General features: G+C 35.2%; 1 long non-coding RNA gene across 5 annotated transcripts in view; it reads left to right on the top strand.

Annotated features, from left to right (window-relative positions):
* Positions 1–14,509, top strand: part of TTTY14 (testis expressed transcript, Y-linked 14) — a 205,047-nt gene that overhangs the window by 160,914 nt on the left and 29,624 nt on the right. The window contains exon 3 of one of the 5 annotated variants that reach the window (NR_125736.1): positions 4,152–4,266. The exons of the other annotated variants lie outside the window; for them this stretch is intronic. This is a non-coding gene — a long non-coding RNA (testis expressed transcript, Y-linked 14). The remainder of the gene's footprint in view (positions 1–4,151; positions 4,267–14,509) is intronic. 5 annotated transcript variants of the gene reach the window in all.

Here is a 14,509-nt window from a genome sequence, read left to right as displayed (position 1 = left end):
TATGCAGTGTTTGGTTTTCTGTTCTTATGCTAGTTTGCTGAGAATGACTGTTTTCAGCTTCATCCCACGTCCCCACAAAAGACATGAACTCATCCATTATTTTTTTTTTTTGGAGATGGAGTTTCACGCTTGTTGCCCAGACTGAAGTGCAATGGCGCAATCTCGGCTCACTGCAACTTCTGCCTCCCAGGTTCAAGTGATTCTCCTGCCTCAGCCTCCCAAGTAGCTAGGACTACAGGCATGCACCACCACACCCGGCTAATTTTGTATTTATTTATTTATTTATTTATTTATTTATTTATTTATTTTAGTGGAGATGGGGTTTCTCCATGTTGGTCAGGCTGATCTCAAACTCCCGACTTAGAGGTTCCATCATGTGTATGTGCCACATTTTCTTTGTCCAGTCTATCATTGATGGCCATTTGGGTTGGTTCCAAGTCTTTGCTATTGTGAGCAGTGCCACAATAAACATACGTGTGCACGTGTCTTTATAGTAGAATGATCTATAATCTTTTGGTTATATACCCAGATTACAGGGTCAAATGGTATTTCTAGTTCTATATCTTTGAGGAATCACCACACTATCTTCCACAGTGTTTGAACGAATTTACACTCCTGCCAGCAGAGTAAAGGCATTCCTGTTTCTCCATATCTTCTCCAGCATCTGTTGTTTTCTGACTTTTTAATGGTTACCAGTATAACTGGCATTAGATGGTATCTCATTGTAGGTTTGATTTGCATTTCTGTAATGACCAGTGATGATAAGCTTTTTTAAATATGTTTGTTGGCTGCACATGTGTCTTCTTTTGAGAAGTGTCTGCTCATGTCCCATGCCCACTTTTTGATAGGGCTTTTTCTAATTGTATATTTGTTTAATTTTTTTGTAGATTCTGGATATTAACCGTTTGTAGGTGGATAGATTGCAAAAATTTTCTCCCCTTCTGTAGGTTGCCTGTTCACTCTGATTATAGCTTCTTTTGCTGTGCCAAATCTCTTTAGTTTAATTAGATCCAATTTGTCAATTTTGGCTTTTGTTGCCATTGCTTTTGGAATCATGAAATCTTTGCCCATGCCTATGTCCTGAATGGTATTGACTAGGTTTTCTTCTAGGGCTTTTATGGTTTTAGGTCTTACATTTATATCTTTAATCCATCTTAAGTTAATTTTAGTATAAGATGTAAAGAAGGAGTCCAGTTTCAGTTTTCTGCATATAGCTAGCCAGTTTTCCCTACACCATTTATTAAATAGGGAATCCTTTCCCATTGCTTGTTTGTCTCAGGTTTGTCAAAGATCAGATGGTTGCAGGTGTGTGGTGGTATTTCTGAGGTCCCTGTTCTGTTCCATTGGTTTATATCTCTGTTTTGGTACCAGTACCATGCTGTTTTGGTTACTGTAGACTTGTAGTATAGTTTGAAGTCAGGTAGTGTGATGCCTCCACCTTTGTTCTTTTCAGTTAGGATTGTGTTGGCTATGTGGGCTCTTTTTTGCTTCCATATGAAATTGAAAGTAATTTTTTTTCTAATTCTGTGAAGAAAGTCAATGGTAGCTTGAAGGGGATAGCAATGTAATATTCTTAAGAGTATATTTTTAAAAGATGATAAATACATGGTAAAAATTTCAATGAAATTCAATATATAAAATGAAATATGCTTCTTCCACTCTTATTCATGAGAGTAAAATATTATTACCAAGTTTTTTGTACTTCCAAAATATACATACACACACACACAAACACATACACAAATACAAATACAAACATTTATTTGTACATGTTCACTATCTTTCTGTTTAATCTTTTTGTCCTTTTAAACAACACACAAGAAAACACCACATATGTACACAAATGCATATACACACACACACTCATTTGTACAATGTCTACTATCTTGCTGTTTAATCTTTTTACATATCTATATAAGAAACCACTATGGAGATTCTCTCTGCAACTTTTCTGGTTTTGGAGGCTTCCCAATAAAATTGAAAATAAAAATAAATCATTATGTAATAGCAATTTTGCTTAGAAAGGCAGTGTGTCCAGATAAAAATATTTACCTGGTCAGAATTCCCAGAAAGTAGCATGCCCATCTAGACCTCTTCCTAACCAATGAGACATGAGTGGAAGGTGGTGGGTGGAGCTTCTAGGAACCACCCTGAGAAAAGCCAGATGCTAATATGTTACACATTCCTGATTAAACCTATTCCTAAAACTGAAACTCCTGAATCAAACTATATGTGCATTTTTCATCATGATAGGTATGGCAAAATTCCTCAGTGATGTTACAATGGTCTATATTTTCATCACCTATTTATGAGAGAGTTTCTCCATCCACTCATTAATTTGCTGTGTGTTACGAAACATCCTCTTTTCCAATCCAGAAAGTGAATGTTTAAATTTTAATTGACCTTTCTCCTAATGTGATGAGTAATAGCTTTTTTATAAATTAAATAGTATTTTTGTGAATAACGGATTAATGTATATTATCTTTTTTCTATATTCTTTATATATTTGTATATTAAAATATATATTATATTCATTTTATACATTAAATACATTAATATTTAATGTTTTCATGTATACTTTGTTTTTATTGATAGTACTTGCAATCTACTAAAATGTAGCCCAACATATCAACCTTTTAACAATAGGTGATTTCAGTGCTAAAATCATATTTACCACTCTGAGATCATTTAAGCAAAGTAATTTCAAGCTTTTTTCTGCTGCTTCTTTTAACCTTGAAATATTTAATCCAGAGGAAATGAATTCCTCAAGGTGGAAACTTGCAATTACAAATTTTCAAATTCGATGGACGCCTACATCATATACTAACTTGTTTTATATTTTGGGATCTGTTCCTGGATGCACTAATTTGTTCCAAGTATTTATTCAACTCTTCATATACTAATCCCAACTCATTACTCAGTTTCCAATTATGCCAACAATAATGTCACCATGGCTAACATTTAGGTACCCCCTACACATTCGTGGCTATATGCATACTACATACAGGACAATATTTTAACTACCTTCTTTTGCATATGAATCCTCTTCTATTTATACAAAGACTGACAATATTAGTGATTTAGTGTCACAATTGAAAAGGTGAGAAAACACAAAATGATGCTAAGGAATTTGCTGTATGTCTTGAGTCTAGTAAGAGATATTGCAAGAGTTGTACAAAGGCATTTGGAGTCCCCAGTTTCTGCTCTGAGCTGCATATTTGTCTAAGGTATAAATAAAGCACTAGCATAAATTATATGGTAGGAAAAATTCCATGCATTACCCATTTGCTTTAGAATATTCTATTCTCCCCAGTTTAGTTTTCTGTAAAATAGTTACTACATCTGACTTTTTTCCTTCTAAAAAGTGATATCTTAAAAGTAGAATTGAATTCACTTATAGTTTAACTTGGAGATAATTGATATCTAATATTGATAACTTGGGCAAGAAGATAGTGCTTGTTTCTCTTAATCCACGTAGACTGTATCCTCCTTTGTAGCACTGGAATTATAATCACCCTCAGAATATGAAAGAGATAGACTCCAGGACTCCTGCTTACACCAGTATCATGCATACTCAAGTCCCAAAACATGCCCTGCAGAACACATGTAAATTGGACCTCAGTACACTCAGGTTTCCTATCTCATGAATAATGTATTTTTAATCTGCAATCGGTTGAAAAAAAAATCTGTGCCTAAGTGAACCCTCAACTGTATTCTTTATAAAGTTTTTGTGTGTTCTCCAATAAGTTCACTCCTGAGATCCTAGGACAATTATAATTCCATCCTTAGTTTATATTTGCTGCAGTAGTTTATTTCTTTTTTTTTCTAAATTGTGTGTGTGCTTGTGTGTATAATTTGCTTTTAATTTTTATGTATTCATTTATTTATCCTGCGGAATTCCTGCATAACACCATTGTCTAAGGAAGAAGTTCAATTCAATATTTTCCTCAGTTTTGCATTCCTATTAACTGCAAATATTGCTAATGTGTTATTTCTTCCTAACTTTGTATGATTTTTAAAAATTGCTTTCATCTCAGGTAGTTTGTCTAAAACAATCAAGTCAAAGTGGCTTTAGTAGTAAACACTGTCTCTCGTGAGATAGAATTCTTGCCTGAGGAGAACCAACAACTTTTATTCTGAATGTTTTTCAGAGATGTTTGAAATACAACAAAATAGTTGGAAGAATCTCCCAACACAGTTGGAAGACTATCTACTGGGGAGAAGTGTTCAGTATCATAAAGATAACATCTCATCCAGAGGAAAGTGGTAGGCGATTTTGCTTGCAGTCTCTCACGAAAGAGGGAAATATCTTAAGCTTCAAGTTCCTCAGCTGTAATGCAAACTTACCGCATGAGCAGTATTTACCTACATACTCCAAGTCATCTCTACAGAATGACAGGGAGAAATCACAGAGAGAATGACAGCAAGAATGCAGGGAGAACTCACACACATGGGAAGCTCATGTTGCCTGCTGTGCATGAGTAATAATATCTTTTGTCTCTGATTCCAGAACCTCATGTCTACCATCAGCATTTATGGAAACATGCTAGAGTAAATTGTCTGTTTGCAATGAGGGTGATATCTCAGATCTTTCACTATTTTTGACAGTCTTGCATTCCTCTATTAAAGAATTTATTTAATACAATTGATGACTATAGTTAGCTTGATATATTTATGATTATTTGTCCACTTCTGTTTATCACCTGATTTTGTTCAGTAAAATTTGCCTTTATTTCTCCTTTATATTTCTTGAGAGAGAGAAAGAGCACGAGTGTATGTGTGTGTGTGTGTGTGTGTGTACAAGATAAAACAAGATTTTTGAGTGCTTGCTTGGAAAAAAGAATGAATCAGTCAGCATATATTGTGCCTCATCTAATTCCTTTTTGTTTCACCTTTGCAGCCCTAAGATTTTAGGATTTTCTTCCACGTTAATCATTTAGAATTAGTTTACTTTGGTATTTTTATTTTTGTTTTTTGACTTTTTTTTAAGTTCAGGGGTAGAAGTACACGTTTGTTACAAAGGTAAACTTGCATTGTGGGGGTTTGCTGTACAGATTATTTCAACACCGAGTATTAAGCCTAGTATGCAGTAGTTATTTTTTCTGATCCTTTCCCTTTTCCCACCCTCTATTCTTCAAAAGTCCCTGCTGAGTGTTGTTCACCTCTATGTATCCATGTTTTCTCATCATTCAGCTCCCACTTATAAGTGAGAACATGGGGTATTTGGTTTTCTGTCCCTGCATTAGTTTGCTAAGGATGATGGCCTCCAGCTCCACCTATATCCCTGAAATGACATGATCTCATTATTTTTATAGCGCCATAGAATTACATGGCATATATGTACCACATTTTCTTTATCCAGTCTATCATTGATAGGCATTTAGGTTTATTCTATGTCTTTGGTATTGTGAATAGTGCTGCAATGACCATACATAGGCATGTGTCTTTATAATAGAATGATTTATATTCATTTGGGTATATACCCAGTAATGGGATTGCTGGGTTGAATGGTATTTCTGTCTTTAGATCTTTGAGGAATCACAGCACTGTCTTCCACAATGGCTGAACTAATCTACTCTCTCACCAACAGTGTATAGGTGTTTCTTTTTCTCTAAAACCTTGGCAGTATCTGTTATTTTTTGACTTTTTAATAATAGCCATTCTGACTGATGTGAGATGGTATCTCATGGTTTTGATTTGCATTTCTTTAATGATCAGGGATGCTGAGCTTTTATTCATATGGTTGTTGGACACATATATGTCTTCTTTTAAAAAGTGTCTGTTCATGTTCTTTGGTCACTTTTTTATGGAGTTGTTTGTCTTGTAAATTTGCTTACTTTCATTATAGAGGCTGGATATTACACCTTTGTCAGATGCATCGTTTGCACAATTTTTCTCCCATTCTGTAAGTTGCCTGTTTATGCCAATGATAATTTATTTCGGTGTGCAAAAGCTCTTTAGTTTAATTAGATCCCATTTGTCAATGTTGGCTTTTGTTGCAATTCCTTTTTGTGTCAACATCATGAAATCTTTGCCTTGTCTGTGTCTTGAATGGTATAGCCTAAGTTGTCTTCCAGGGCTTTTATAGTTTTGGATTCTACTTGTAAGTCTTTAATCCATCTTAATTTAATTTTTGTATGTGATGTAAACAAGGGGTCCCTTTTCAATTTTCTGCCTATGGCTAGCCAGTTATCCCACCACTATCTATCGAATAGGGAATCTTTCACACTCCAATTCAACATAGTATTGGTATTCCTGGCTAAGGCAATCAGGTAAGAGAAAGAGGGCATCCAAATAGCAAGAGAGGAAGTCAAACTATCTGTGTTTGCAGACAACATAATCTTACATCTAGAAAACCCCATAATCTTAGACAAAAAGCTTCTTAAGCTGATAAACAATGTCAGTGAAGTCTCAAGTCCCAAAATCAGTGTGTAAGAATCACTAGCATTCCTATACATCAACAAAAGTCAAGACAAGAGCCCAATCAGGAACAAACTTCCATTTGCAATTACCACAAAAAGAATCAAATAACTTTGAATACAGCTAACTCAGATGGTGAAAGATCTCTCTTGGAGAGCTACAAACCACTGCTCAACCCAGTCAGAGATGACTCAAACAAACAGAAAAACATTCCATGTTCATGAATAGGTTGGAAGATTCAATACCATTAAAATGGTCATACTGCCCAAAGCAATTTATAAATTCAATGCTATCGCTATGAAACTACCATGGACATTTTACTCAGAACTAGAGAAAAATATTTTAAAATTTGTATGGAATCAAAAAGAGCCGAAATACGCACAACAATCTTAAGCAAAAAGAACTAAGCTGTAGACATCACACTACTTAAATTCACACTATACTACAAGGGTACCATAACAGAAGCAACATGGTACTGGTACAAAAACAGACATACACATCAATGAAACAGAATAGAGAACCCAGAAATAAGACCTGCACACTCTTAATAGTACCTTTAAGTTGGTTCAGTGTTTCCCATGACCTCTTTTGCCAGAACTACTCTCCAACATTAATTTAGGTAAGAACACTCTCTTGTACTTTTTAAAAATGTGTGTGTGTAGACCCAGGTATATCAAATTTTGAATTTATTGCATTTAAATAGATAGCTTAACAGTGACTGACAATTAGGGTACAAGATTATCGGGCTCTATGTTTTTTTCCTAGAGATTTTATAACTATCTTCTCATTTCTTGCCGTTTTCAATGCTGCTATAGAAAAAAAAAAAAATCTGAGTTTTCCCACCTCCAGATTCCGTGTGTCACCCAAATATCATGAATTTTTGTGTTAGCTTTATTTTATTGCATCTTAGTGATTATAGGTGTGGATACACATTTCCTGGGAGATCGTTTTGCTTTTATGTCTATCCATTACTATCTCTTTGAAATATATTTTCTGTTCCACTTGGTATTCTGTTTTGAAAAGACAAAAAGTTGTTCTTGATCTATTGGAACTCGTTTAAACATCTTTTCAATTATCTTATCAATAGGCTCTTTTTAAACTCATTTAGTTTTCTTGAATTTACCTTTGATTATACTCTCAACCATTTTCTTCAATCTCTGTTGCTATTGTGAGCAAGGTGCATTGTAATTTTGTTTCACCTGTTTTATTTTTTTGTGGATACATTGTAGGTGGATATATTTATGGAGTATATGTGATATTTTGATACAGGCATGCAATGTGTACTAATCATATCAGGGTATATGAGGTATCCATCCTGTCCAGCACTTATCCTTTGAAGTACCAACAATCCAATTACACCTTTTAGTTATTTTTAAAGGTACAATTAAATTATTATTGACTGTAGTAACCCTGTTGTGCTATGAAATTCACCTCATCTTATTTTTATTTTCTTTGGCATTTTTGATGATTAATTATGTCACATATTTCTTATATATCATGCACACTTGATCTCTCTATTTATTACTTATTTCTAGACTTTACCCATTTTTTGTGGAAGTTTTCAGTATTCTTTTCCTAAAATCTTAGAGAAGATGTTTGCATACAAAGAAAACAAAATTTATGTGTTTTGATATGACATTGAAGACAACTTTTTCTACTGCCTCATTTTTTTAATGACAACTATTCATGATGCACTACTTTATTTTTTCCTGAGGACGACACAGTAAGTGGAAACTACTCTACCTTATCTTTGCCAAGGTAGACATGCTGTGGGAGTGTGAAACTGCTTATTCCAGTATTAGAAAATTAGATAACCACCAAGCTAAATGAGAGGAGGTCAAGTATCTATGGAGAAGTGTCCAAGGCCAATCATGAGGAATTCCTTGGAGGGAGTATATATTTTCTGTTAGGACCCAAGCATCTAGCATGAAGAATTGAGAGATGAAGAGAATGTTTTCTTCACTACAAATTAAGTGAATAGTACCTTACTTACCTACCATTATCTTTCTATTCAGCATCTCCTCTTGCTGAAACCAGCCCAATTTCACCATAGAACTGATGTTTATTATTTTTTATGTTTATGCATTTTAATTTTATTAATTTTTATTTGTTTTCATTTTATTGTTTTTGTTTTAATTTTTATTTGTATTTATTTTTTATTTTTGCTTTCTATTTTTTACATTTTTAAATATTTAAATTTAAATTTTGTTTTTAATATTTTTAATTTTTAATTTTAATTATTCATTTATCTATTTTGAGACAGAGTGTTACTCTGTCACCCAGGCTGAAGTACAGTGGCACAGTCTTGGCTCACTGCAACCTGACTCCCAGTTTCAAGTGATTACCCTGCCTTAGACTACTGAGTAGCTGGGATTACACACTCACATCACCACTCCCGGCTAATTATTTTAATTTTCAGTAGAGACAAGGTTTCACCATGTTGACTAGGCTGGTCTTGAACTCCTGACCTCAGGTGGTCCACCCATCTCAGCCCCCCAAAATATTGGTATTACAGGCATGAGGCACCATGCCCAGCCTATTATCATTATTTTGAATCAACATAGAAATAGTGTCTTTCTTTCTCAGAGCTTGAAACCCACATTGGTTTAATCTGAGTTCTTCTCTCAGGAAACTGACCCTCAGGCCTCCCATGTAGTATCAAGGAACTGAAACTCCTTTTCTTTACTGCCCTCCCCCAATTCCTGTAGATTCCTTCCCTACCACATAAACCACTAGTTTGACTTGGTTGCAGTGACGGATTTGACATTTATCTCCTGTCTCCTTGGCTGAAGCACCCATAAAAGCCTTCCTTGGTAATACTTGTCTCAGTGATTGGCTTTCTTTCTGGTGCAACAAGATCTAAACCAAACCCGTGGTGTTTTGGTAACATTTCCCTTGTTATGAGATCAAATCAGGGAGCTTCATATATGCCTCCTCAAGGCTGAGATAGATGAGACACAGCTGAAAACTCTGTAAGTGACCTCTAGTCCATGGTTATCAGCTCCCAGTGCAGAACAGGGAGGGTTTCTGTACAAATCTTGGCACCCAAAAAGATAGATTATTGAAACTGCATCATGTGGTCAATTTGGCTATTGATACCCAAAGGAATATAAATCATTCCATTATAAAGATACATGCACATGTATGTTCACCACAGCACTATTTACAATAGCAAAAATATGGAAACACATTTTGTTTCATTGGGGGTTACGTTTCAACATGAGTTTTCGAGGGGACAAATATTCAAACTATAGCATAGGGCAAGTGAAAAATTGTTAAGAGTTTTGATTTTTGTAATTAGACTGGACTTGATTAATTTTTATCACCTAAACAGGGCCTTATTGCTATTTCCTAAAAAATATAATAATAAGTCAAGAGAATGCATCAAAATGACAAGAAAGAATATGCAATAATATGACACTTTGCACCATCATGTCCACAGTGGTCAACTGAAATTGCATTTATCCACTTTTCATAATTGTGTGTGTGTATGTATGTATATATATGTATGTATATATGTGTATGTGTATATATGTGTATACACATACATATATGTATTTTATATATATTATATGTGTGTGTATATGTGTGTGTGTGTGTTTGTGTGTGTGTGTATATATATATATATATATATATATATATATATATTTTTTTTTTTTTTTTTTTTTTTTTTTTTTTTCAGATGGAGTCTCGCTCTGCTGCCCTAGCCAGAGTGCAGTGGCGCCATCTGGGCTCACTGCAAGCTCTGCCTCCCAGGTTCATGCCATTCTCTTGCATCAGCCTCCGGAGTAGCTGGGACTTCAGGCACTGGCCACCACGCCCAGCTAATTTTTTTGTATTTTTAGTAGAGCTGTGGTTTCACTGTGTTAGTCAGGATGGTCTCAATCTCCTGACCTCATGATCCTATTGTCTCGGCCTCCCAACGTGCTGGGATTATGGACGTGAGCCACCGCACCTGGCCCCTATTGTATATTTCATTTTGATGTTCTTTCATTTAGTTTGCACAAGGACAAGAGCATCTGATTGAAAGATATCTGTAAATGTAGAAAAATAATACAACACTCTATTAATATAGATAAGGGATGCAGTTTAGCATCCACAGTCAATGTTACAAAGTAGGATATTGCAGCATTTTTCATCGTGAATCCCTTGACATTCCATCTGCATGAAAACTCCCAGCTGCCAAGAATATTCCCGCTGGGTCTGCTAGAAAAACACCACGAAGCCCATTGATACACTCTATTGGGGGTTCATCTAAGAACATTTTATCATATTCTTCACGTTTAAGTAACTGCTTTTGAGGACCTTGCAAATATTAGTTCTGCTTAGTGAATTCTGTCTGATTTATTAGAGATATTTGTGTCAAAGGGAGGTTACTCCAACTAGAACAAGGCCTTTTGACATCATACACCCCACTTTCCTTGCAAATATTAGTTCTTGAAAGTTCATCACAAGTAGCACAGTGAGGTGACAATTATTACCATGATTTAACAGATTTAATGTCAGAGGCTTGAATCCTGGAATCTATACCCAGCCTGCTCATTCCAGAATGTCTCTCCACCATACCACTCTGCCTCTCTTTGTTTGCTACTGGCTGTGTATGGCCATGATGAAGATTGTGTGGGTGTATATCTGTCTGGCCTCCAAGGACACCATCCATGACTGAGAACCTCCTCTTGTTTTTTTCTTCTGAGTGCACTCTTTCAATTTCACCCTATAACTCATTTGGAAATGATGGCTATAGCTCTACTTATTACAAGAAGTTAATTTCACAAAACAGCATTACTTTAGCAATCTATTTAAAGTAAATTCATCTGTAATTTACTGTAATACAGTAGGGGTAGCTTCAAAATTATCTCTTCCTTTCTGTGCTCTGAATGTGAATCCTAAGTCCACTATAATACAAGAATTATTTGGTAGACTTTATTCCTTCTAAAAATACATATTACCTATTTTGAAATGTAATATATATTACATTTGATAATTATTATCAAATACATTGCATTTATTACATTACATGCATATTACATGTGAATTTGAATCCTAGGTCCACTCTAATATATAAATTATCTGGTAGATTTTTTTCCAATTAAAAATGCATATAGCCTATTTTGAAAGGTAATACTCAGGATATTTGGTAGTGTATTCTCAAACACATCACACTTATATTAAATGCATATTACATTTATAATACCTATCGAATATTATATATTACATATTTTCATTTTTCACAATAGACTGTGCCAAGTCACAAAGTAAATGTAATTGGAAATGTGTTTGATCTTCATTAAAGCTCTGTATGAACATGGTAGAAAATTTCCATTTTCTCCCCTTTTCCCTGTTCCCTTTTTCTGTAGTATCCAGTCATAAACAGCGCATATAATTTGCCTCTTTATTTATGCTAGTTAGATTTGATATTTTTCCTTATAAAATTGTTAAAGTTTCTTTGAGTAGATTCATTTTCTCCATCTTATCTTTTAATCATTGCTAATGCTTAGAAATGGCTTTAGATTTATTAATTCTCATGTGTTAATTTGATTGTCCTGAATTGTCTATGTATTTAATTATATCATCTTTAAAAACATAATTATAATTCATCCTTTCCAAAAATTATATCTCTCTTTCCTTTTGAAGTCTTGTCTTAGTACAGGCTGCCAACTAAACAGATAGGGTGGCTTAAACAACAGACATTTATTGCTCACAGCTCTGGAGGCTGGAAGCTGGCAGCGAGTCTCCATGGCAGATTGCCTTCTCTAGTTAGGGATCACTTTCAGCCAAAAGTGTTGTTGTTTCTATTGTCGCTAACATTTACATTTATAACAAATTTGGAATTCATATTTTTTTCTATTATATCAATATTTTGAAGACTTTAATAATTACTCAGAAGTCATTGTGGGGTGGCTGGTCTTTCCCCCCCTCCCTTACTTCCTTCCTTTTTTCCTTCCTTCCCTCTCTCTCTTTTTTCCTTTTCTCTCACCCTTTTTTATTCTTTGACTTCCTTCTCCCCCTTACCTCTCTTTAATTCTCCTCCCTCCCTCCATTCATCAAAAGTAGCACAGTGAGGTGACAATTATTACTATGATTTAACATATTTAATGTCAGAGGCTTGAATTCTGGATCTTTGAATTTTTGAAACCTTGAATCTTCTCTTCCTTCCTCTCTCTATTTCTTCTCCCCCCCCTTCTTTTCTTTCTCTTTCCTTGCTTCCCTTTCTCTTTCTTTTTTGTACCTTCCTCCATCCCCTTTTACCTTTCTTCCTTTCTTCCCTTCAAGGAGAGAACATTTTCCTTTTGGAATGCTATATGATAAATGTTTTCACTCATTCATGTCCTCTGCAGCCTAGTTTAGCTATAAAAATAAAGTTGTAGCAAGCTGCAGGTGAAGGGGCAGTAAGGAGACCTCAATTTTAGTCCTGACACTTGCTTTCCTGCTGTGTGGCTTTGTATCCTTAATCTTTTGGTACTTAGTTTTCCATCTGTTAGGCACATTTACTCCTGTGCAATAATACGAATAATTTATGACCTCTCTGCTCCTTAGTGAATGTCCATGCATATTTTAACATGAGACTGGAAATCTTTAGTCACAATGTGAGTGCAAAATTTACTAGACACCTTGTTGTAACTGGTATTATTGCCATATTACCTTTGTCTTAATGTTCTTAAATCTGCAGGCAGCATTTCTCAAGAGCACTATTTGTCTACCACCAGGAGCTGCAATCTGTTCCTTTAGGTGTAGCAAGAGGAAAAGATAAGTCCATTCCCCTTTAATGTACTACATTTAAAAGCTCTCTTTTTGCATTCATCTGAGACAAAGGATTAAAATCAAATTTAAATGCATTCAACAGACTTACAAATGCCTTTTGACCTTCAGGTATACGTGCTGAAACTTATTTCACAACTGCGAACATAAATCTCAGAATACATTCTTTTCATGACTGCAATCATAAATGTTGGAATACTTTTTTATTACACATGACTGAAACTTCAGGAACAAAATTCTCTACCTCACCATACCTTACGTTTATTACCATTATCAAATTTGTCTTTTTTGTATTGATTCAGTAAGTACTTAGTGAGTGCTAACATACTCCTCTACTTGGCCAGATTTATCAAGGAATGGAACAAATATTACATTCTTCTGATTCTGACCTTGTTCCTTTTCTCGTCTTCCCTTTTATTGTTTTCCTATTTCTCTTTTTTTTTCTTTTTCCCCCTCCCTGGAGTTTAATCAAATAAATAAATAAATAAAATCCTGGAATCTTAGAGAAGGGAAAATGAGAAACCATCTTCCAATGACATTTCCCAGATGTTGGCAATTAGTGCTGTGTTGCTAAGTCCACTGTTCAATGCTTATTATCTTACCTGGTCAATTAGAACTCGATGTATATTTATTCCCTACAGCAACACCCTTGTGTTCGTCAGGATTTCCTAACCTTGACTTCTGTTCTTCTTCATGTTTGCTTTCTTTTATCCCCTTGTCTTGGCCTTTCCTGTTCACTGGACCCGTTCATGCTTGAGTTCTCTAAGTCAGTACTGCTCCTCTTCTTTACTATGTTCCTGTCCTTAGGGATCTCACCAACTATCATGACTTTAAATCACATTGGCATAGTTTATTTTCCCCACACTTACAATTCCAGCTTAGAATTCTCTTCTGATCCCAGGCTCTGCACCCAACTGTCTCCTTAAAATCTCCATTTCCTGGTCTCTTGTACATCCTACCCTCAACAGGTCAAAAATCATACTCTAACTCACCTACAGCCCTGCTCAATTTACTTCCTTCCTCATTCCATTGTTTCAGTTGCTCAGACAAAATCTTTGGCGTCTGTGTTCATTCCTTTATTTTTGTTGGTGTTTTTTTGCTTTTGAGACAGAGTCTCACTCTGTCACCTGGGCTGGAGTACAACGGCGCTATCTTGGCTCACTGCAACCTCTGCGTTCTGGGTTCAAGCAACTGTCCTGCCTCAGCATCCCAAGTACTACAGGCACACACTACCATGCCCAAGTAATTCTGTAGTTTTAGTAGACTAAAAATCATAGACACTAGGTTTAGAAGAGACTAGGTTTTGCCATGTTGGCCAGGATGTTCTCTT

The sequence above is a fragment of the Homo sapiens genome, chromosome Y (assembly GCF_000001405.40).
Source record: "Homo sapiens chromosome Y, GRCh38.p14 Primary Assembly".
Classification (NCBI taxonomy): domain Eukaryota; kingdom Metazoa; phylum Chordata; class Mammalia; order Primates; family Hominidae; genus Homo; species Homo sapiens.
This window is presented reverse-complemented; position numbering and strand designations above follow the sequence as displayed.